Below are 22,814 nucleotides of genomic sequence, written 5' to 3'. Positions count from 1 at the left end.
TGCTTTGTAGAAGGAACTAGAGAAAGAGACATACCAGGACATGACTAAGCCTCAGAATCCCTGGACCTTGAGGGTCCTGGGAAAGCGGCTTCACCTTCCTGCTGCCTCCAAGGTCCCTCTCTTCTTCACTTGATGGAGTAAAGGATGGCCCTTCAAGTGGCCAGAGGGACTTCCCTAAACATAAATACCATCAGGTCACTCCTGGCATTGCCTTCAGGGCCACGAACAGAGACTTCATAGGGTGTTTTTTGCTTGTTTGTTTGTTTTTGAGACAGAGTCTCACTCTGTTGCCCAGGCTGGAGTGCAGTGGCGCAGTTTCGGCTCACTGCAACTTCTGCCTTCCAGGTTCAAGTGATTCTCCTGCCTCAGCCTCCCAAGTAGCTAGGATTACAGGCACCCACCAACACGCTCAGCTAATTTTTTGTATGTTTAGTACAGACAGGGTTTCACCAGGTTGGCTAGGCTGGTCTCGAACTCCTGACCTTGTGATCCGCCTGCCTCAGCCTCCCAAAGTGCTGGGATTACAGGTGTGAGCCACCGTGCCCAGCCCATAAAGTGTTTTTCTGGGGGGCAGGGAGTGCATGGCAGGGGAGTGGGGAGGGCAGCTTCAGTAAGGCTGGGCTCATCCTCTGAGTCCCACAGACTCGGGCCTCTCAGGTACAGGCTCCCTCCAGGTCTATGCCCTCTGACCTCCAAAGAGAGTTATTCTCGTTGCTGGCTTAACTTTAAGAAGGGCTGTGTCTGGCCTGAGGAATCATTTCTCACAGCCCCCAGGCTAGAACGGACCTCTCACCCTAGCTGACTCCAGAGCTCACCTGGAGCTGCTCCCCTCTATCCCGCAGTCCCATGGTCCCCAACACAACGCCACCAGGCACAAAGACAGAACCATCTTTATCCAGATGTACACCTGCGACAGGAAGTGACCTGCCTGCCTAGGGCCACACAGTGCAGGACACAGGCCCTGCCCCCAGAGCATCTGGTCAAGCACTGAGATAAACAGGTCCGCAGAGCTGTGGTTCTGCCCCCAGCTGCTGCTCAGAGACAGGGAGAGATGTGCAGTGGCCGCCCAGACCCACAGACACACGACAGTCCAGGCACCCAGCTCACTGTCATGGGGGCCTCCAGGGAGGTGACCCTGTGCTGCTTCTTTACCTGCCCACCCCGCCACACAGCCACCTCCTTCACCAGGATCCAAGTCACATGCCTTCACAGTGGGCAGGTGGCACAGACGGCCAATGGCAGGGTCAAGGGCTACCCAGCAGACAGGGGGCCCATGCTGCTGGAGAACGGACGGTCAGTGAGGCCAATGGGCAGCTCCAGGGACAGTTGGCCACTAGGTGGACCAGAGGGCTGGCTACACAGACACAGGCTGGGATCATGAGAGTCACATAACAACACTGTCCCATGAGAACCTCCAGACCAAATAGCAGCTAGTGCTTCCACCCTCCAACTGGCACTGGGGGAGCTCGGGCAGAAGCAGTGCCTGGCAAGCAGGGTGGTAGGGTTAGACACCCTCCAGTCCAGCCCTCCCACCCCTCAGAGCTCCTCCATCCCTCACCTGGGGCTCCTCCATCATCTCTCACCCAGGACTCCTCCATCATCCCTCACCCGGGGCTCCTCCATCCACTATCTGGGACTCCTCCATCATCCCTCACCCGGGGCTCCTCCATCATCCCTCACCCGGGGCTCCTCCATCCCTCATCCAGGGATCCTCCGTCATCCCTCTCCTGGGATTTCTCCGTCCCTCACCTGGGGCTCCTCCGTCCCTCATCTGAGGCTCCTCCGTCCCTCACCCAGGGCTCTTCCATCATCCCTCACCCAGGGCTCTTCCATCATCCCTCAACCAGGGCTCCTCTGTCATCCCTCACCCAGGGCTCCTCCGTCATCCCTCACCCAGGGCTCTTCCATCATCCCTCACCCAGGGCTCCTCCATCATCCCTCACCCGGGGCTCCTCTGTCCCTCACCCGAGGCTCCTCCATCCCTCACCCAAGGCTCTGCCAGCCCCTAACTAGTCTCTGGCCTCTCTCCATCTTGCCCTATACTCCATGCCTCCCACAGAACTCTGAGAGAACTTTACAGACTGCAAACTAAAGAATGTTGTGCCTTGTCCTCATCTTCCTGCACTGGGGCCAGAATGTAACTCCCACCCATGGCCAACAGGCCAAGGTGCCTCCCTAACCATATCTCCCCTCATTTGGGGGCCAGCCACATGCTGCCCCTCACCCCACACAGTGCAGTCTGTTGTCACCCCAATCTGCTCTGGCACAGACTCGCAGGCGGCTGGTGATGAGGGCCATGCCACCCCAACCCTGTCCCCCAGCACTAGCTTCAGGGGCCGTGCAGTCTTCCTCACTGCTGCCCGTGCCTAGAACAGAGCCTGGTCTCCCCTGGTGTTCAGGAAACGTCACCAGCTAGATGGACAGACTGAGGGACGTGCTCGCTCATGAACAAGGAACCAAGCCCAGTCGTGGCAAACCTCTTGACTCCTAGCACAGCTCATGCTGGATTCCTGGGCCATTTTGAGACTCAGGATTCCTCATGTGTGACATGCAGAGCTGCCAAGCGCAGCCAGGAGTGGCACAAAAGCCTCACAGACTGTTCCCATCCGGCCTGTACGTTGGCTGGCATGGGAGGAGTGGGGGCTGCTGGCCGGCTGCTGGCCCTCCCCCAGCTGGCTTCTCCTGAGTAGCCCCTCCATCCAAAGCCCACCAGGGAGCTGCTGCAAGGAACAGGGTGGCATCCAGAAGTGCCCAGTGCTGGGTGCAAACAGTGGAGAAAACCTCTCCCTGCCTGGCTGCTTCTGCACACCTCTGCTATGTGCTGCTGGGCAGTGGTCGCCACAGTGCCTCCCACTTCCAAGGAGAGATTCCACAAGCACCAAGGGCAACTAATCCTCATGTTTGGCTGACTCCAGCCAAGGAAGGTTTAGTGAGACTCCCCACTGCTTCCCATTTGAGCCTGTGTGTGCTGCTTCATGCGGGGCCATGGGGTCCCTCTCCCCGGGTTCAGTGAGCCCTCCCAAAGCCCCACTTCACCCCTTCTCCAGGCAATGTGCAGAAGACTAGCTAAGGCTGCAGTTTCTATACTGTTCCAGGATACCAAGTGTCTCAGGACTCCAGGCCTCAGTCTCTCCTTCAGGGAAATGGGCCTAAACCCCTAAATCAGTCTGCACCATTGCTCCAGCAAAAGCAGGTCAGCCCAGACCTGCTGGTGAGGTGGAACCTGGCAGGGAAGGGCCTCAAGCTCCACTTGACGCTGCCTTCCCACCAGGCCCCACGTTCCTGGTTAGTGCTTCCCAACTACTCTTTCCAATGGCCCAAGCTTTCCCGGAGATTCATACACAGAATACGCCTTGATGGGGTTTTATAAGGGGAAGGGTAAAATAAGGGACAAAATCACAAAGCTACAATAAGATCTCAGTGATCTGGAATTGTGGGGTGAAGGTGCTGGGGTCAGGGTTCAATGCCTGAGTCTGGCAGCCCCAGGGGTGGGTGTATCAGTCCCCAGGTCAGATCCTGGTCCCAGAGCACTCTCCAAGGCCAATCAGATCCTCATGTTTGTCCAATACTGTGGCCTTGCGCCCTACCCATGGCATGTCAGGAACAAGAATGAACAAGGGCTTTACACATGCTCTCCACCTGAGCAGAACCATCCACTTAATGCATGGAGATCAATGAGGCCACGTGCTGCCCACACAGAGCGGCTGGCACTGCTCCATAACTGTGCTTGCTGTCCCTACTCTAGGAATCCAGAACCCTGGCCTTGCTCCACAAAAGGATCCTCAGCAGTGAAGCATGTAGCCAAAAAGATAGCCCCTGGGGAGGATGGCGGTCAGGGAAAGGAGATGGAGACCCACACAAGAGGACCCCATACACAATATGAGAGAGGTCTTACACATGTATGGAAAACGCCTAGTTCGACATCTGATGCAAAAATACTTATGGTTAAAAAAGAAGACCCTCCTTCGCAAGCATGCAGGCATGCACTGGGCACACAGCAGCACATGCATGAACACGGAGAGCATGCCAGGGGTGGGCAGCACCCTGCGCATGTACAGTTCTGTAAATTCAGTCATCACACATTAAAAGGTGATTACAAAAAAAGATAAAAGTGCCATCAATGAACAATCTGAAAAAGAAGTTAAGAAAATAATACCACTTACCATAGCGTCCAAAAGAATAAAACATCTAGGAATAAATGTAACTGAGTCGGTGAAAGACTTGTAAACCAACAACTATAAAACACTGCTGAAAGAAACTAAAGAAGACACAAATAAGTGAAAAGGTATCCCACGTTCATGGATCAAAAGACTTAATACTATTAAGATGACAAAGCAATCTACAGGCTGAACACAATCCCTATCAAAATTCCAACAGCGGTTTTTTTGCAGAAATGGAAAAGCCAATCCTCAAATTCATATGGAACGCAAGGAGCCCAAAATAGCCAAAACAACAGTGAAAAAGAATATAAAATCAGAGGACTCATACTTTCTGCTTTCAAACTTACTACAACTTTGCAGTAATCAAAGCAGTGTGGTACTGGCATAAGGAGACACATATAGACCAATGGAATAGAACTGAGAGTCCAGAAATAAACCCCTGTGTATACGGTCAAAAGATTTTTGGCCAGGGTGCCAAGATCATTCAACGGAGAAAGAATAGTCATCAACAAATGATGCTGAGACAACTGGATATCCAGCTTCAAAAGAATAAAGCTGGACTCCTACCTTCCATCATTACAAAAATAAACAGAAGATGGATCAAAAACCTAAGATAAGAGCTAAAACTATAAAACTCTTAAAGGAAATCACAGAAGTAAACCTGTAATTATAATCTTGGATTGTACAGGCAATGAAATCTTAGAAATGGCACCAAAAGCACAAGCAACAAAACAAAAAAGAGATAAACCAGACTTTATCAAAGTTAAAAACTTTTGTGCATCAGTAGTCATTATCAAGAAAGTGAAATGACAACCCACAAAATGGAAAAATGTATTTGCAACTCATGTATCTGATAAGGATACAGCACTTAGGCTGGGCGCAGTAGCTCATGCCTATAATCCCAGCACTTTGGGAGGCCAAGGCAGGAAGATCACCTGAGGTCGAGAGTTCGAGACCAGCCTGACCAACATGGAGAAACTCCATCTCTACTAAAAATGCAAAATTAGCCAGGCGTGGTGGTGCATGCCTGTAATCCCAGCTACTCAGGAGGCTGAGACAGGAGAATCACTTGAACCAGGGAGGCAGAGGTTGTGGTGAGCTGAGATCACGCCATTGTACTGCAGCCTGGGCAACAAGGGCAAAACTCCGTCTCAAAAAAAAAAAAAAAAAAAGAAAAGAAAAAAAAGGATACAGTATCTAGACTATATAAAGAACTCTTACACTTCAGCAATAAAAAGACAAGCAATCCAATGTAAAAGTGGGCAAAGGCCTTGAGTAGACATTTGTCCAAAGAAGATATACCAATGGCCAACAAGCATGTGAAAGCTGTTCAACATCATTGGTCAGTAGAGAAATGCTAGCCAAAAACATAAGGAAATCCCACTTTATACCCACTAGAATAGCTTTAATTTAAAAAAAAAAATTAGGAAAACAAGTGTTGGTGAGGATGTGGAGAAATTGGAACGTTGCTGAGGAGAATTTAAAATAATGTAGCCCCTGTGGAAAACAGTTTGCCAGTTACTCAAAAAGTTAAACATAGAGTTACCATATGATCCGGCAATTCCATTCCCAAGTATATATCCAAAAGAACTGAAAACAGGTGTTCAAACAAATATTTATACACAAATGTTTATAGCAGCACCATATACAACAGCCATAGGTGGAAAGAACCCAGATGCCCATACACTGATGAATGGATAAACTGTGGTCTATCCACACAATGAAATATTATTCAGCCATAAAAATCAATGAAACACAGACACATGATACAATGTGGATGAACCTCAAAAATATTGTGCTAAGTGAAAGAAGTCAGACACAAAAAGTTACATATTGTATGATTCTATTCGTATGAAATAGTAAATATCCAGAATAGACACACCTATAGAGACAGAAAGCAGACTGCTAGTTGTCAGGGGCTAGTGGGAGGAAGAAAGGGCAGTGACTACTTATTGGATACCGGGTTTACTTTAGGAGTGAGGAAGATGTTTGGGAACTAGATAAAGGTGGTGGTTGCTCAACACTATGAAGACACTAAATGCCACTCAACTTCACACTTTCAAATGGTTAATTTTATATGAATTTCACCTCAATTTTTAAAAAAGGTAAAAGGCTCGTTTCCCCATGTGCACATTTCTAGCTAAATATTTTCAATAAAAGCAAACATTCTGGCAATTAAGATGAGGCTCACACCAAATTGCTTCCTTCAAGACACGCCTCCTTTGGAAAGCTTTGATAGACAGGGACAGATACCACAAAGATTTTTCAGTTCCTATGCTTTGAGATCCAAACCACTGGCTAGAATTCTAAATATGTTCATATGTTCTTCTGTGAGTGACCCAGCACTATGGTGGCGGGGGGGTCCAGGAGAAAAGTAAACAGGTCCTGTACCCTAAAGCATAGAAGCCAAGTCCCATTCTGGACCTCACAGCTAGGGCCACCTACCTGCCACAGAGCCAAAAAGCTGAGAATCAAGGTTGGCAGAAGTTAGGGGACAGAGAAGGAGAGATGCAGAGAGGGAGGCACTACAGCGAGAGACCCTGAGAGACACTGGGTATATTCAGACCCAGGAGGGAGCTGCTGCAGTCAGCTGCTTGGACAGGGAAGCACCTCCCATCCCCTAGCTCAGTATGTGGCCTTCCTCTGTGACTACATTTCCGTCCGTGTTACACTGCTGAAACCATGGACACGAGCAGTTATCAGCCCCGGTATTTGCTCAGGCCCTTGAGCCAGAATAACCTAAGCCAGGTGCCACCTCCTCACCTGCACCCTCTGGGAGGTGAGTGTGTCCACCTGCTGCAGCTCAGAGTGCACCTGATGAAGCCAGAGACCTGTGTGTGACAGAGGCCCTAGCTGCTTCTGTGTCCATGCTGGGAATGAAGGTGACAGGGTGACCCACACTATCTGCCCCTCGCAGTCGACGTGGGAACCAAACATGATGAATGAAAAACCCCTATGGCATTAAACCCCGACTGAATGTTAGCTTCCGCAGCACAATCAGGCCCATCTGTTATTTAAAAAAACCAAGAGATGGACTTTGTTTTACCCACACCCTGAATTTCAAAAGTGAGATTCTCCCAGAGAACTGTGTCACGGAACACTATTTTCTGGCCCACACTTGCTCCCACCAGAAAAACTCACTCTTTTAGAAGGACCTGGCACATGTCGAGGCACTACAGGGACAGCCATAAAAGAGGATGCCTGGGGGTGGCAGCGTCCACCCAAATCTCTGCCCAGATTTTAGGGCATCTGTGGCCACATTTCACCCAAGCAGCCCCAAACAAACGTGGGCTGCAGTCCAGAAGTTCAGATCAAGCACACTTCCAGTCAAATATTAAGTATATTCAATAATAGCAAACGTTCTGACAATTAAGATGAAGCTCCTTGCTTCCTTCAAGACACACCTCCTTTGGAAAGCATCGACAGAGAGGGATGTCTACTTTACCCTCTAGAAGCTGGCCTGACATTCTTCCCACCTCCTCCAGAACTTTCAAAACTCACACAGGGGGAGAATTCCTTGTTTTAAAATGATTTATTCCTAAACACATCACAACAACATCTCCATGAGGAGAGCCCCTTCCCCCAGTACTCCCCGGCATTTGAGGTTCTAGGATTTAACTGTCAGTTCTGATCACCCAGATTTGACCCACGGCAGGACCTCCTTCCCTCTCGCACACACACTCCACTGGCCAACAACAGAGCTGGCCTGCAGCGCGAGGCCACAGCCCCGCCTGGTGTTCCCAGGTAGCCCCTGAACATGGCTCTGCCTCAAGAAGCTTAAGACTAGGTGGGCACAATGAGAGCCCAGAAAGGCCAACTCCATCCCTAGGGAGGTGGACACAGAGACAGGGCCCTGAGGAGGAGGGCAGGCTGAGCCCAGACAGACAGACGGACACAGAGGAATTGGAGGGAGCCATGCCAGGCAAGTCTTGTCCACTCTACCTTCTGAGCACTTCCAGAATGTGACCCTTCTACCGACCCCAGTCCTCACTCCCCACCCCCTGGGTACACAGGCAGGGTGACAGTCACCTCCTCACTGGCTCCCTGCCCCTAACCTTCTCCCAACCTCTCCCCACAGCAACATGCAACACGGGGGACAGTCAAAACCTCAGTCCACTCTCGCCCCTCCTCTGCTGAGACACTCCCCCTCCAGGGTGGCTGCCACCAATCTGAGAAGCTGCCTGGCTAACCCCTGGGCCCTCACAGCCAGCTCTGAACTCCGTACAGAATACAAGCCCAACAAATATTTACTGAGGTATGAATGAAATGTCTGTCACTTAAGTGACCTGAACAGCTTTCAATTTCTTTCAAGTCAGTTTTACTGATTACACCTCCAAAAACCCTTCCAGTCCAATAGAACAAGCAGCTGAAAGAGGGCCAGAAAGCTACATGTTAAGGATGTTTAAAACTTTAACAGAAGCATTCCTGCTTCCCAGAGATTTAAATTATTCAAAGTAAGTTGGTGACAAAGTGAGATGCCAGCTCACTTTGCAGGCAGGAGTGGAGGGCATGGGGCCTGGTCTCCATCCTCCAGTTGGAAGGCACAGGCACAAGGGAACACAGTGTACGGCCCAAGTGGCTTTATGTAAGAGTAGGATCCCTAAAAGGAGAGGACAGGTCCTCCTCAGTGCCGGTGCAGAGCGACACATCCCCACCAAATGAGGCAGACAAGACACCTCCGAAGGCAACCGGCCTCCAGCGGCCTCCTGCCAGGTCCTGCCACAAAAATCCATCCCTCCCAGGTCAAAGCCCACATTCTGGGACAGCACTCCAGTCGGTGCCAGTGAAGAAGGGCTGGGCTGGCGAGGATCCCCACCCCAGGAGTGATGAGCCACGGTCAAGATGGGGCCGGAGGAGGAATCTTGCGAGAACTTGGTGAAGGGACACACATCCCAAGGACAGAGGGGGGCTTCAAAGGAGGGCCTGTTTCCCCGACCTCTACTCCACACTTCCCCTCCAGTGAATGCAGGATGCATGACCCCAAGGATAGAACACAACGATTCTCCCTCCCCATGGTGAACATTCTCCCCAACCCAGGCCAGCGGGGCAGCCCCACCCACCAAGGCAAGAACACTGGGAGGGATGCTCAGAGTCCCTGAGTAGGCAAACACCCTAGAAGCAAGTTCTGGCCCCAAATGGCCAAAGCTCTATCCCAAACAAGTTCTCGGCTGCCGCCAAAGCTGCCAAGAGCAAAGACGCAGCCACCGCGACTGTAGCTGATGACTTAGAGACCCTCTCTCCAATTCTCCCCAAAACGGGGCTGGCTGGAAGAATGTGATGTGGCCACAGGTGGGACAGACAGGCATTTTACTCTAACAGTTGTGTGTTTATTTTTATAGTTACTGTGTATGGTAAGTTACAGTAATGTTTTATTTCAGGAAATGATATGAAGTTTCCTTTTAAAAGCAATATTTTCGAGAGTAAGGAGACATGAGGATTAAATGCAAGGTGGGATCCAAGAACAGAAAAACGACATTAAGTGGGGAACACTGGTTAAATACATTTGAATAAAGCCTGTAGTTTAGTCAGCAGCCCGGCACCAGCGTTAACTCCTTCATTGTGGTACTGGTCCCATGGCTGGGTAAGATGTTCACTGCAGGGAAAGGGAGAGAAGGATACAGGGAAACTGTACCATTTTTGGAACTCTTTTGTAAGTCTAAAGTCCCCTCAAAATAAAAAGTTTAAAAGTATTCAAACTTTTAAAAAGAGAGTTGAAATGTTAAATAGGAAGTAAATCACAGTACAGGCGGTACGAAGATCAGGAAAGAACCACCGGGGCCATACAAGACTATCTGGAGGTGGAGAAACCCCGGGGTCTGGTCACACACGTTCATTTTACTGATGAGAAAAGAAAAGTGATGCTGAGAGACCAAAGGATTTGCCCAGGGCTGTGAGAGCTGTACCAACACCACCAACCCCTGACGGCTGTCCTCCCCATCACACACCTGCCCAGAACAATTGGGGAGCAGGCACACCCAGAGGCTTTCTCCCTGTAGGGTTCACTTTGGCAGATGACTCTTGGTTAGATGCAGGAGAAAATGACTTTCATGGCCGAGGGAAAGCACAGCTTCTTTCAGACCCCACAGCCACCCCAAATAGGTGAGAATAAATCTGTGCTGATCAACTGCCTGTATTGGATTCAATCAGAGACCTCAAATAAGAAAAAAAGGAGCTAGAGCCTCCCCAGACATCCCCCTTTTGGGGATTTTTTGCATGGGCCAATACAGCAAATGACACCAACCAGCTCTCAGGCCAGCTCTCAGCCCCTGTCGCCTGCCTGCCCCTCATTCCTGGAGTTTTTCCCTTGGCCTCGAAGTCTAGTTCAGAACTAGCCTTCCCTTCCCAGAGGGTCCCCTAAGCAGCGAGACAAAGGTCTTCTCGCGTTCTCTCACTCTCCCTACTCTGGGCCCCGAGTGTGGGCAGCAGCCAGGAGCTGACACAGGTGCCCAGAAGGTTCTGTAGCAGAGTGACTGCGCTCGCCAGGTCAGGGCTCCGGTGGAGATGGGGGAGAAGGCAGAGGCCCCACCACTTTCAGGGCTTTTCAGGGCCAGCAGCTCAGCATCCCTGGATATGAGGAGCCTTAGAGGCTCTCACTCACTTTGGCCCGGCCATGAACTTCTCAACGGCTGCCAGTTGAGGGTGTGCATGTCAGCCCTGTTCTGGGCAGAGCCCGGTGTTCACACTCAGTCTCCCTTGCTCTAAGGGGCTTCCACAGCCCTGGGCATACCCAGGAAGGCAGCCCAGATTTCCGTGGGCATCCCCACCCCACAGAGTCCCAGGCCCTTCTAACAGCAGGGAGGTAGGACTCAGGACTGGGGCTGACAGACATAGCAGGCCCTGTCACATCCCAGCCACCCAGGTCCCCACATGTAAACTGGCAGGACTGGACTTGGGGCCACAGCCCACTCTTAAGCACCACTGACCAGTCTTGAAGACCCAGTCTTAGAACCTGCAGGAGGATCTCCTCTCTGGAAGGAGAATCCCGGACCACCCACCACCACACACCCCTCTCTTTCCCCCGGCTGCTTGCTGCCGGTGGTTTGGGACTGGAGCCCCAGAGGGCATACAGCCCTGGCCAGCCCCGGGTCCAAACACATCCCACAGGCAAAGTCAGATGCAAGAGAACCTGTTGGAGCAGTTTGGGCAACACTGTCACCTCCTCTTCCTCCTCCTCCATTTACTTCTTGGTGGGAAGGGACCTGCCCTAGGCATGGGGCCAGGTCATGGCCATCGGCAAGGGCCAAGAGGGCGGGGGTTTTCAGTGTCTCCAAGCGTTACCTCCTTCCCCCCTCCCCATCTTCCTTAGGGAGCATAAGATCATGTCAAAACCGGCGTTCCTGCCGGGAACGGAGAGGAGAGAAACGGGGAAAACTGAAGGCCAGGGAGGAGGTGGCAAAGCCACAACAAACCCCCCTTACCCAACTCACAGACACTATTCTGTCACCGCACTCCTGCCCGCGGACCTGCAGGCCTGCCGGGTCTAGCTGCTCCGCGGGGGTCCGGGAGGGGTCCTGCCCTCGGGGACAAGGTCCAAGGGAGCTCGCCGGCCACGGCGGAGGGTGGGCGCGCCGGCTGCCACCTCGCCGGAGCCCCCACGGACTCCCCAGCCCTGCCGGAGTCGGAGCCCGCCACTCGCGCCTCTCCCGGGACCCGCGCCGGGCTGCGCGCCCGCTTCTCCCGGCCCGGCCAACCCCGAGCCCGCGCGGGGAAAGTTCCTGCAACTTCGCAGGGGGGAGGCGGCGGGGGCTCCGGGCCTCGGCCTCCCTCCGGATGCCCGGCCTCTGCGGCCGCCGCGACCCAGCTGACAGGCGGCCCGGCCCGGGCCTGGAGCCCCAACTTCCCCGCGCCCCGAGCCCCGAGCCCACCTCCCGGCCCGCGGGCCTCGCTTTGTGCGCGGCGGCCAGGGGCGCCCAGCGCGGGCCCCGTGCTTGGCGCCCCCGCCCTGGGCACAAAAGGGCGCGCGGCCCGGCACGGCCCAGCCCCGACCGGGGCGCCCGGAATGCGGCGGCGGCGGCGGCGGCCCGTCCCCGAGCCGGGCCTGCGGGCGCGCAGCCGGGGGCGCGGGGCTCGGTCGGGCAAGGTGGCCGGGCCGGGCCGGGCCGAGCCGAGCAGCCGCCGCGCGCTCACCTGCCGTGGAACCAGTCCTTGCAGGCGTCGCACTCGATCATGAAGCGGGTAACGTCGTAGGGGAGCCGGCAGACGCAGTACACGGGCACCGTCGCCATGTTGCCGCGCCGCGCCGCCGCTCGGCCCCGCCGCTGCGCTGCCCGGGTCGGTCCGGGCCGGGCCGGGGGCCGGGCCGCGCGGGGGCGGCGGGGGCGGCGGGGCGCAGGCGGCGCCGCGGCCGGGAGGGGACGGGGACGGGGGCGCACGACAGCCCCCGCGCGCGCTCCCGGCCAGGCGCGTCCACACAATGCCGGGCGCGCTGGCTGGAGGGGCCGCGCCGGGAGCCGCCCGCCGGCCCGCGGGGCTCAGGGCGCTAGTGTGCGCGGGGGACGGGCCGCGCGCGGGACACAAAAGGGAATGGACGCGCGGGGGCGGCGGGCGGGGAGCCGCGGCCCCACCGAAGGGACCCCCGGCCGCCGAGCGGCCTCTACGTCAGCGCCCCGGGTGGCGCCGCCTCCGCCCGCCGGCCTGGGCCGCCGCTCCCGCCGCCGGGAAGGCGGGCTGGGGAACCCTGCGGGGGAGAAGGTGGGTTGGGGGACCCTGCCGGGGGAGAAGACGGCCGGGGGGACCCTGCCGGGGGAGAAGGCGGGTGGGGGGATCTCGAAGGTGGAAGATAGGCCGAGAAGGGCCCCCAAGGCTGAAGGTAGACCCAGGGGTCCGCGGGCGCGAAGGTGAGCTGGGGGAGCCTTGAGACTGAAAGTGGGGTGGGACCCCGGGGAGAAGGTGGGCGGGACCCCGAGGATAAGATAAGTTGGGGGAACCCGGGCAAGGCAGAAGGAGAGACGCGGGGTGCGGGAGTGGAGCCCGCAGGAGAGCCTTCCTAGTCTAGAAGGCCGACAAGCAAATACTTGGCCCTAACTTTCTTCTGACCCCCACCACGGTGGGGGTGTTCCTCCTCCTCGGCCGCGCTGCCTCCCTCCGTTCCCCACTGAGTTTCTGGTTGGGACACCACTTCCTCTTTCCCCTCATTTTCGGCTGGGGACTGCCGCCTCCCTCGCAGGATCCCGCGGACTTCCCTGATGCTCAGCCCCAGAGGAAGAGGACAGAAGCCCGGGCCGGGAGTGCGCTGGCACGGGCTGGTCAGCTCTGTTCCCTGGCATTTGAGCCCCCCAGGCCCGTGACCTAAGGGGCCGGGCTGGTCAGCTCTGTCAAGAGAGAGCTCCCTGGCATTTGAGCCCCCCAGGCCCGTGACCTAAGGGGCGAGGAGTATGGGAACCCTGGCCCCCGTGTCCAGGGAACTGAGCCCCCACGGTGGGGAGGAGAAGCGGAGGTGCGCTCTGAGGGGTCACTTGCACGCGTTCTAGAGGAGGACTTCCCTGCCTCGCCAGCGCTGCATCCTTGGGGCATCCGCGCTGGGCAGGGGCCACATCCCTGCCCGCCCTTCCTCCCTCACCCTCTTTCTCTCCCCATCCTCCCTCAGCAAAATCCGCATCGTGCTGGGAAATGTGGGCCACCCCTGCTCGGAATTCCAGAATCTCCGGACAGGAAACCTGGCTCAGTCTCCTAGCAGCATCCATGACAAGGCTCCTTAGCCCCTCAGCCCCTCACCATCACCGCCCACCTGCAGCTGCCAAGGGGCCGTTTGCTCCACCGCAGGCGGCTCAATTAAGGTCCTTCCTCCTACTGAGCCAAAATCTACCCTCAGAGTCAGCCACCCACCCCCAACAAGTGACCCCGTGGATACAGACTCAGGGCAGTGCCCAAAGCACTGGGCACTGGGGAAGGGGGCGGGGGGAGAAGTAGCTGGCCATAGAGGGAGAGGAAAGAGCAGGAGACCCCCAGCTCCCACACCTCTGGACTGGCCAGGATGGCCTGCAATAGGCCTTCCTACCTGAATTCCGGTTGTCACTGGTTCCCTTCCTCCTGGGTGAAAGCCTGGAATTTTTTTTTTTTTTTTTTTTTTACATACTGAAGTTCTGGGAAAGAAGTAACTCTTAAGCCATTGTCTACTATTATGTAGATAGAATGCTCAGCCTGAAGGTTGAGAGCCCAAAAGGCGGGTTTCAGGTGAGTGGTGCCCACTTCCTTGATAGATACACTCTCCCTCACCCTTACAGCAGTACTAAAGTAGTCAGGTGAGCAGTGCCCAAATGAAGCTGGAAACTTCTAGAGGCTGCTGTGATGCAGGGGAGGCTGCCCTGATGTGGGCATCCCCCCATCCCTTAACACTCCTATTAGCCTGTTTACAAACAGTGACAGTAGTTAGCCAACATTTAGCAAATGCTTTTACCAGGACAGTGCCCTGGGCTCAGTTCTTCACGAGGTTTTACCAGTACCTAACCAGATGTTTGTAAGCGCTTAGCAAATTCCTGGGTCATGATGGCAATTACTACATACTCAGGACTCTCCTTTGGTGCCTTTAGGTATTGGTATTAGTGCCATTTCACAGAAGTGAAAACTGAGGCGCTAAGCAATTAAACATCCAGCCAGACAGAGGATGTCAGCTCCCTGGTGAGAGGGCAGAGGGTGGGAGCCAGTGAGGAGCCCTCAGCTGGTCTCCAAGTCTTGGGCCTGTGCTCCCTGCCCCGCAGCCACCGCACAGAATGTGTCTGGAGAAGCTCGGCCTCCCTGCTAGTCGTTCGGGGTGTCCACCCCACCCACCTCCCAGCCCTGCCCTTCAGATGGTCTCCTGTGCCCACCAGATACATTCCTTTTGTTCAAAGCCCTTCCATGGCTGCCTGCCATCTATGGGATAAAACAAGTGTCATCAGAAGCCCACAAGCTCCCTCTGTTTGGCTTCTCCCTATGGCTTCCCCTTTCTTTTTGTTTTTTCTTTTTCTTTTTTTTTTTTTTTTTTTGAAATGGAGTTTCACTCTTGTTGCCCAGGCTGGAGTGCAGTGGCACGATCTCGGCTCACTGCAACCTCCGCCTCCCGGGTTCAAGTGATTCTCCTGCCTCAGCCTCCCGAGTAGCTGGGATTACAGGCATGTGCCACCACAGCTGGCTAATTTTGTATTTTTAGTAGAGAAGGGGTTTCTCCATGTTGGTCAGGCTGGTCTCAAACTCCTGACCTCAGGTGATCCGCCCGCCTCCACCTCACAAAGTGCTGGGATTTCAGGCGTGAGCCACTGTGCCCAGCTGACTTCCCCTTTCTTTTTTCCATCTCCTTCAGGACATGCACCTCCCCACTCCTCCCTCCTTCCCTCCTTCTCTCTCACTCCTCTACTGAGGTATTTATTGAGCATCTACTGTGTCCTGAGCAGTGTTGTAGACACTGGGGACTCAGCAGAGTCTCAGCTCTGTTGGAGTTCACATTGGAATAAAGGGAGACAGTCAATACATACATCAATGCATACAAGATGATTGGGGAGAAAGAAGGGCACTGGCTAGAGGGACACTCCCCTGAGAAGGTGAGCTGGGGGCAAAGGCCAGGATAGGACTGCTCACAGAGGGTAAGGACCATAGCGAACTCACTCTTGCTTGGTGGTAAGGAGGGAAAGGCCCCAGAGAGGAGGACGGTGGCCTTGGAAATTCAGGTAGCATCTTACTGCCTCCCGCACCTCATTGCCTTTGGCCCCAAACTCAATGGCCTCCTCTGCTTAGTGGTTAGCCAACTACTAACTGCCTCAACTACTAACTGCCCGGTGCCTCAATGCCTGCCCACCACACCCTCCATGTTGCCCAGGGCTCAGCTGCACTTCAGCACTTAGGAGGCTATGCCAGTGTCAAGATGTCCCTACCCATAACCTCAGTCAGACTGGCATTGTGCAGGTGCAGCATGAGTGGGTTCACAAGCTCCAGGGCCTCCATGCACCTGCACCCTGGTGCTGCAATGACAGTGCCGCTGCAGCATGGATGTGTTTTATTCCCCTTCCTACCCAGCCATCAGCATAGCCTGCTCCAGGGCCTGTGGTTCACACATTCACTAAACATGTGTTGAGTGCAAGTGCAGGTTTTTTGGCAAAATTGGGGTTACATATACATGATATAAACCTTACCATTTTAACCATTTTTAATGCACAGTTTGGTGGTATTAAGTACATTCACACTATTGTGCAACCACCACCACCATCCATCTCCAGAAAATTTGCCACGGTCCCCAGTGGAAACTCTGTCCCTTATAACACCACGCCCCTCCTCCTCCAGCCCCTGGCAGCCACCATTTGCTTTTTGTCTCTATGAATTGGACTCCTCTAGGTATCTTATATACGTGGAATCACACAGTATTTGTCCTTTTGTGACCAGTTTATTTCACTTAACATAATGTCCTCAAGTTTCATGCCTACTGTAGCATGGGTCAGAACTTGCTTCCTTTTTAAGACTGAATAATATTCCCATTGTATGTATGTACCACACTTTGTTTCTCCATTCATCTGCCAGTGGATACTTGGGTGGCATCCATCCTTTGGCTGTTGTGAATAATGCTGTTATGAATGTTAGCATGCAAATAACTGTTGGAGTCCCTGCTTTCACTTCTTTTGGGTATATATCCAGAAGTGGAACTGCTGGATCACATGGTGATTCAATTTTTGTATTTTTTGAGGAACTGCCATACCATTTTCCACAGTGGCTATACTATTTTACATTCCCACCAGGAATGAAAAAGAGTTCCAGTTACTCCACGTCTACATCAACGCTTATTATTTTCTGTTTTGTTTTTTTAAAGACTATTTTGGCTACTTGGGGTCTCTTGAGATTCCATGTTTTCTAGAATGGATTTTTCCTTTAGAAAATTTATTTCTGCAAGGAAACAATGTTGGGATTTTCATAAGGATTGCGTAAATCTGTAGATTGCTTTTAAGAGATTGACCTTTTAACAGTAAGTCTTATAATCCACAGACACAGGCTGTCTTTTCATTTATTTGTCTCTTTTTAAATTGCTTTGAGCAAAGTTTGGTAGTTTTCCATTTTCAGTGTACAAGTATTTTGTCTCCTTGACTAAGTTTATTCCTGAGTATTTTATTCTTTTTGATGCTACTATAAATGGATTTTTTTTCCATAATTTCCTTTTTAGATTTTTTTTTTTTTTTTCTGAGGCAGAGTCTTGCTCTGTCACCCAGGCTGGAGTGCAGTGGCATGATCTCGGCTCACTGCAGCCTCCACCTGTGAGACTCAGGTGATTCTCCTGCCTCAGCTTCCCAAGTAGCTGGGATAACAGGCATGTGCCACCACACCTGACTAATTTTTGTATTTTTAGTAGACACAGGGTTTCACCATGTTGGCCAGACTGGCCTCGAACTCTTGACCTCAGGCCATCCACCTCCCTCCGCCTTCCAGAGTGCTGGGATTACAGGTGTGAGCCACTGCGCCTGGCTGTTTTAAGATTGTTCATTGTTAGTGTATGGAAACAAAACTAATTTTCATATGTTGATTTTGTATCTTGCTCTTTGCCAAATTCATAGGTTTTGGAGTGGTTTTATGTCTGTGGACTCTTTAGGGTTCCTATATCTTGATGATCTTACATGATGATATAAGATCATGTCATCTGTGAACAGATAATTTTACTTCTTTTCCAGTTTGGATGCCTTTTTTTTTTTCTTTTCCTTTTTCTTGTGTAATTGCTCTGGCTAGTACTTCCAGTACTATGTTGAATAGAAGTAGGGAGAGTGGGCATCCTTGCCTTCTTCCTCATCTTACAGAAAATGCTTTCAGCTTTTCACCATTGAGTAGGATTTTAGCTGTCAGCTTTTCACATATGGCCTTTACTATGTTGAGGAAGTTTCCTTCTATTCCTAGTGTATTTAATTTTTTAATCAAGAAAGGGTGTTGAATTTTGTTAAATGCTTTTTCTACATTAATTGAGATGACCATGTAGGTTCTTATTGCTCATTCTGTTAACATGTGTATTACATTGATTGATTTTTGGATGCTGAACCATCCTTGCATTCTGGGAATAAATCCCACTTGTTCATGGCGTATGATCCTTTTAATACGCTACGAATTCAGTTTGCAAGTATTTTGTTGAGGATTTTGGCATCAATATTCATAAGGAATATTGGTCTGTAGTGTTCTTCTAGTATCTTTGTCTGGCTTTGGTATCATGGTAATCATGGCCTCATCAAAAGAGCTTGAAAGTATTCCCTCCTCTTCAATTTTCTTTAAGGGTTTGAAAAGGACTGGTGTTAATTTTTCTTTAAATGTTTTGTACAATTCACCAGTGTAGCCATCTGTTCCTGGACTTTTCTTTGTTGTGAGGTTTTTGATTAGTGATCCAATCTCCTTACTAGTTGTAGGTCTGTTGAGATTTTTTGTTTCTTCATCATTCAGTCTTGGTAAGTTTTGTATGTCTAGAAATTTGTCCATTTCATCTAGGTTATTTTGTTGGCACACAACCAATGCAGGTTTCATAGACTGAATGAGGCAGAAACATTCCTACTTCCATAGATACCATAGGCCAGAGCAAGAGACAGGTAACTAATAATTGATGGGGGTGGAAAATGTTAGAAAGGAAATACTAGCTTGAGGTTGGGTGTGTATTTGTGAAAGATCAGTTGATTTGGTCAGTGCATAGAAACTTCAAATACTGGGCCCCTTCTTGGAGTACCTGGGGAAATTTTTTAAGCCATCTGGGCTTTTCTGACAGGTATGAAAGTGACCCTCCTTCTTGACCATCTCTAGGATGGTCCTGTGATGTTTGGATGCAGTGAGCTTGTGGACAAGTCTCTGAGCCAGGTGACTACATTATTTACTACTATCCAAAAGGGTGCTGTTAATAAAGCACCAAAACAGGGGCAAACTGAGGCTATCCTGGGCAAACTGAGACTGATGTGACCCTCTCTATAGCCCATACTGGCATCAGTTGAGTTTGTAGAGATGGACATTCACAAATGCCAGGAGTAGGCATGGTTTCATGAGGTCAGGATGGGTCTGCACAGGTGCCTCCAGCTGTTTGCTTCCTGAACTGATGGAACTTGCTGGGCACAGCCTGGGAAAAGGCCATCCTGGGTGGCCATCCTGGTCCACCCAAGGTGCCTGGAATCTGCTTGGGTAGCTCCCACCTGCCCTCTAGGTCATTCTTCAGAGAGGCTTCCCTGACACCTTCCTCCTACCCCCACCCATGTAAGTTCCTCATTTCCTCTGCATTTGTCCTTCATAGAACTTATTACCACTGCTGTTGCATTTTTTTTTTCTTGAGTGCGTTTTCACATGGCTGTCCTTTACAAACTCTGGTGAAGTCCCACAGCCAGTTCAGCACAGGGCAAAGCACATTAATGAAAAGCTTATTTTGTCCCATGTGCAGGTCTTTGGTCAACTTAGCCTGGGCTGTGTTACAGCCAAGACTGGAAGCTTCCCTGGGGTACAGGGAGGAGTAACCAGACAGCTTGGGGACAAAGGTGGGGTGGATGAGGGCAGGGCTGCCAGGCTGGCCAGCAGCAGGCTCCTGGCAAAAAGGCCTCTGCACCATCTACTCCACAACGTGGGGAGCCAAGTAGCATAGGACTTTTGTCCAAGATATAGTGAGTAAGGGTAGGGAGTTGAGGCTAACAAGAAAGTATTGCATTCTCAGAAGAACTGAAAGTAGAATAAAACTGAGGGAGGGATGAGAGTCACCCCTAAGGTTACTGTCCATCATAAAACACCTGTATTCTGCTGTCTGCCCCATGCAGTGCAGAGGTAGGCTCCCTCTGAGCAGGGAGAAGGAATGCAGGGCAAGGAGGGGTGTCCTGGAAAGCAGAGCAGCCTAACACTACCTTGGTCCTTGTTGTTGATGGTATAGAGAAAGGTATAGACAGTGAATTATTTCTTAAAATTCTTACCTGATTGTTTGGGAGATCATAAAACAGCCAGGAGAGACATTAGAAGTTCCCTGTCAATTGAAAAATGAAGAAATTATGGGCAAATTAAATGTAAGAGGGGAAATGTTCACCCTCACTAGAAATCAAAGTCATGCAAATAAAAACCCATTTTTTAACCTGTCAAATTGGCAAACACCAGTGCCTTGACTGTGCCCAGCAGCCAGGCTAGTACAGACAAAGAGCTCCTGGACCCTGGATACCAAGCAGCGTTCCGGAGCTAAATCAGCAGGAGCACCAAAAGACTCCCTTCCCTCACCCTTCCCCCACCCTTCCCCCACCCTTCCCCACTGGGAGATTCTTCTGATGAAATGCTAACCAGGAATAATGACACTGGTCCTCACAAGACTCACCTACAGGGTAGCATGGATACCTGGAGCCCACTGGGCATCCAAGCACAACCCGTCCTGCCTCAAAGCCTTCAACAGACCACAGCACTGGAGGATACAGCAAGCCCTGTCCTCGGGGTGGCCATGGGCTTCTCCGCTCTCCATGGATTCCCCTTGGCTGGGTGCTCCATCCGCTGCTCCTGGCCCAGACCTGTATTCCCAGATAGCCTCCACTCATGGCTGCATCACTTGCCCATGCCACCCATCTCCCCATCTTTTCTCATTTTCTTGCTTGAAATATTCTTATTTGTACACATGTATGTTGTCCCCCTACTCAAATGTAAATGCCAGAAAGGCAGGGGCCTTGACATCTTCTGTCCCATGGGGCCTAGGGCTGGGCCTGACACGGACTCTCCGCAAGTGCTTGCAGAACAAGGTAATGTCCAACCATGCTGGTGGGGAAAGACTGAATACGTTACGATGCAGCCCCACCGTGGAGTCTGTGGAACTATGGCAGAATATGGAATGGTAGGGAAAGGCAATCATCAAATGATGCTAAGTTGGGAAAATGTTACAAAATATTAACATGATTTTTTTTGTATAAGAAAAAAATCTATATATTGTATAGAAGGAGAGAGACCAAATGTTAAAAACAGGTGTCTCAGGATGGGGGAATTACCGAGGACTTCTTTTCCTTTTTGTGTATCTAGCCAGTATTTCTTAAACTTACCACAATAAACACATATTGCTTTTGAAACAAGAAAAAAAAATCAGTAAAACCTATTTTTTTGAAAAGGAAGAGGATAAATGGCCAGGCAGCAGAACATACGACTTGCCCCAGGATATCATGCTGCCAGGAAGGAGAAACACCAGCATCACCATTCAGTCCAGCCCGCACCAGTGCCACCCACAGCCACTGACCCCTGGGCCCATGACAGCATCGCCCTTGGGCCTTCCTCTGCAATTCTGGTGGTGTGGAAGGAGTGGCCAGCATGGCTCCAGCAAGGAGGGATGTCCTTGGCCTCCTTGTTCCAGCCACAGGGTCGCCGGAGCCCCAGCACCCTCTCCCTTCCTCTCTCCTTAATGCCCACGCCTGCACCTACTGGAGCTTCAGGAGCGGGTGGACAGACCCAACTTGGAGCTAAGGGTTGGGTTCCAGCCCAGTCCCTGCTGAGAGTGACCTAAAGCAAGCTGTGCTGCTCTCTCACCTACAGCAATTGCAACTAAGAGATGAGAACCACCGGAAAGAAGGAGCACCTGCTTGTCAGGGAGCAGAGAGGGACCCTTGACATGCGCGCGCTCCTGCTGCTGAGACTGTACTGTTCAGAAACCTGTCCCTCTCCCCTCTTAAAGCCAGAGGGCTCTCCCTGTCAGTTTGCTATTCTCAAGTGGCGTGGGCCTGCCCCTTGAGAGAGGGAAGAAAAGCGCGTGGTTGTCACGGTGGGAGAGGTACTGCCTAGCAATGGATGGTGGAAGCTGGTGGGCCTGGAAAGTGTTCCTCCACAACGCTGTCCCTCTGCCAGGCACGTGCGATCCAGAGTGGGTTAGACTGGTTCCCGTCACAGGCAGGGTCCTCAGTGGAATGGTGTTTTTGAAAGATGGAGCGTCCGGGCGCCCCCATCTTCTCACAGCACAGAGAAGGGGCTGGCTGGCCCGCCACCGGGAGGCTGGCGCAGAGGGACTCAGCCGTGGCCCCGGAACAGCGGGCCACCGTCAGGAACCGGCGAGTCAGGGTGGGAAGAGGCCCTGGAGTGAGCGAGGCTAGCTTCACTTCCTTCAAACTCTGAAGGCCCACCCCATAAAAAGAAGGGGTAAATTCGTCTGGGGTCTGAACAGCCAGGACCAAGAGCGCTCTCAGGCTGCTAGTTGGAGAAACTGGCTCGGCTCGGGCCTTGCTGGGACTCGGGCTCCCAGGGTCTGCTCGGTCTCTCTCGGGGCACTCGGGTCTTTGCTGGGCCCGGCGCCGGCCCCGCACAGAGAACCGGCTTCAACGGCGCAGTCTCAGCCTCCGGGAGGAAAAAGCTGGGAGTAGGCCTCACTGACACGGCCCCGCCTCGCGGGCTGCGCGCGCACCGGGACCTGCGCGGTGGCGGACGGGGAAGCGCCACGCAAGGCCCCGCCCCGCCCTTCCACAGGAAGGAAACGCGCCCCCGGGCGAGCGCCAGCCCCTCCCTGGAGCGGGATCGCCGCAGCTCTCCTGGCCGCCTCCGGCGCCGTTAGCCCACCATCCCCCGCTAGAGGGCAGCACGGGGCGCTTTCTCCAGGCGCTCGGCGGACCTGGGTACGGGGACCTCATATCAGGCTGCAGAGAAGAGCCTTCAGTCAAAAGGATGGCATGAAAAACGGACTATACTTGTAACATCCAGCTTTTAAAACGTGGTGGAGTCAAATTTATTGCTTCCTCAGGGCTTAAAAAAACCTCTTCT

General features: G+C 52.5%; 1 protein-coding gene across 4 annotated transcripts in view, besides 9 other annotated features; it reads right to left on the bottom strand.

Annotated features, from left to right (window-relative positions):
* PHF2 (PHD finger protein 2) overlaps nucleotides 1–12,575 on the bottom strand; it is a 103,004-nt gene extending 90,429 nt beyond the window's left edge. For all 4 annotated transcript variants that reach the window (XM_005252051.3, NM_005392.4, XM_006717143.3 and 1 more), the window contains exon 1: nucleotides 12,288–12,575. In XM_005252051.3, the coding sequence (XP_005252108.1) occupies nucleotides 12,288–12,385 (98 nt within the window). In that variant the 5' untranslated portion in view covers nucleotides 12,386–12,575. The remainder of the gene's footprint in view (nucleotides 1–12,287) is intronic.
* Nucleotides 450–950: an enhancer, noted in NCBI's record as "H3K4me1 hESC enhancer chr9:96350491-96350991 (GRCh37/hg19 assembly coordinates)". NCBI's record gives its function as "activates a minimal SCP1, AML or CMV promoter by ChIP-STARR-seq in primed H9 embryonic stem cells {active_cell/tissue: H9 hESC(primed)}" and the evidence as "EXISTENCE:reporter gene assay evidence [ECO:0000049][PMID:30033119]".
* Nucleotides 10,786–10,935: an enhancer, noted in NCBI's record as "active region_28625". NCBI's record gives its function as "activates an Ori minimal core promoter by ATAC-STARR-seq in GM12878 lymphoblastoid cells {active_cell/tissue: GM12878}" and the evidence as "EXISTENCE:reporter gene assay evidence [ECO:0000049][PMID:35858748]".
* Nucleotides 11,797–11,956: a silencer, noted in NCBI's record as "silent region_20050". NCBI's record gives its function as "represses an Ori minimal core promoter by ATAC-STARR-seq in GM12878 lymphoblastoid cells {active_cell/tissue: GM12878}" and the evidence as "EXISTENCE:reporter gene assay evidence [ECO:0000049][PMID:35858748]".
* Nucleotides 12,547–12,846: a silencer, noted in NCBI's record as "silent region_20049". NCBI's record gives its function as "represses an Ori minimal core promoter by ATAC-STARR-seq in GM12878 lymphoblastoid cells {active_cell/tissue: GM12878}" and the evidence as "EXISTENCE:reporter gene assay evidence [ECO:0000049][PMID:35858748]".
* Nucleotides 12,957–13,016: a silencer, noted in NCBI's record as "silent region_20048". NCBI's record gives its function as "represses an Ori minimal core promoter by ATAC-STARR-seq in GM12878 lymphoblastoid cells {active_cell/tissue: GM12878}" and the evidence as "EXISTENCE:reporter gene assay evidence [ECO:0000049][PMID:35858748]".
* Nucleotides 13,078–13,672: an enhancer, noted in NCBI's record as "H3K4me1 hESC enhancer chr9:96337769-96338363 (GRCh37/hg19 assembly coordinates)". NCBI's record gives its function as "activates a minimal SCP1, AML or CMV promoter by ChIP-STARR-seq in primed H9 embryonic stem cells {active_cell/tissue: H9 hESC(primed)}" and the evidence as "EXISTENCE:reporter gene assay evidence [ECO:0000049][PMID:30033119]".
* Nucleotides 13,117–13,396: an enhancer, noted in NCBI's record as "active region_28624". NCBI's record gives its function as "activates an Ori minimal core promoter by ATAC-STARR-seq in GM12878 lymphoblastoid cells {active_cell/tissue: GM12878}" and the evidence as "EXISTENCE:reporter gene assay evidence [ECO:0000049][PMID:35858748]".
* Nucleotides 13,673–14,268: an enhancer, noted in NCBI's record as "H3K4me1 hESC enhancer chr9:96337173-96337768 (GRCh37/hg19 assembly coordinates)". NCBI's record gives its function as "activates a minimal SCP1, AML or CMV promoter by ChIP-STARR-seq in primed H9 embryonic stem cells {active_cell/tissue: H9 hESC(primed)}" and the evidence as "EXISTENCE:reporter gene assay evidence [ECO:0000049][PMID:30033119]".
* Nucleotides 22,327–22,746: a silencer, noted in NCBI's record as "silent region_20047". NCBI's record gives its function as "represses an Ori minimal core promoter by ATAC-STARR-seq in GM12878 lymphoblastoid cells {active_cell/tissue: GM12878}" and the evidence as "EXISTENCE:reporter gene assay evidence [ECO:0000049][PMID:35858748]".

The sequence above is a fragment of the Homo sapiens genome, chromosome 9 (assembly GCF_000001405.40).
Source record: "Homo sapiens chromosome 9, GRCh38.p14 Primary Assembly".
Lineage (NCBI taxonomy): Eukaryota > Metazoa > Chordata > Mammalia > Primates > Hominidae > Homo > Homo sapiens.
The sequence above is the reverse complement of the archived record's forward strand: the minus strand, read 5'-3'. Positions and strand labels throughout refer to the sequence as shown.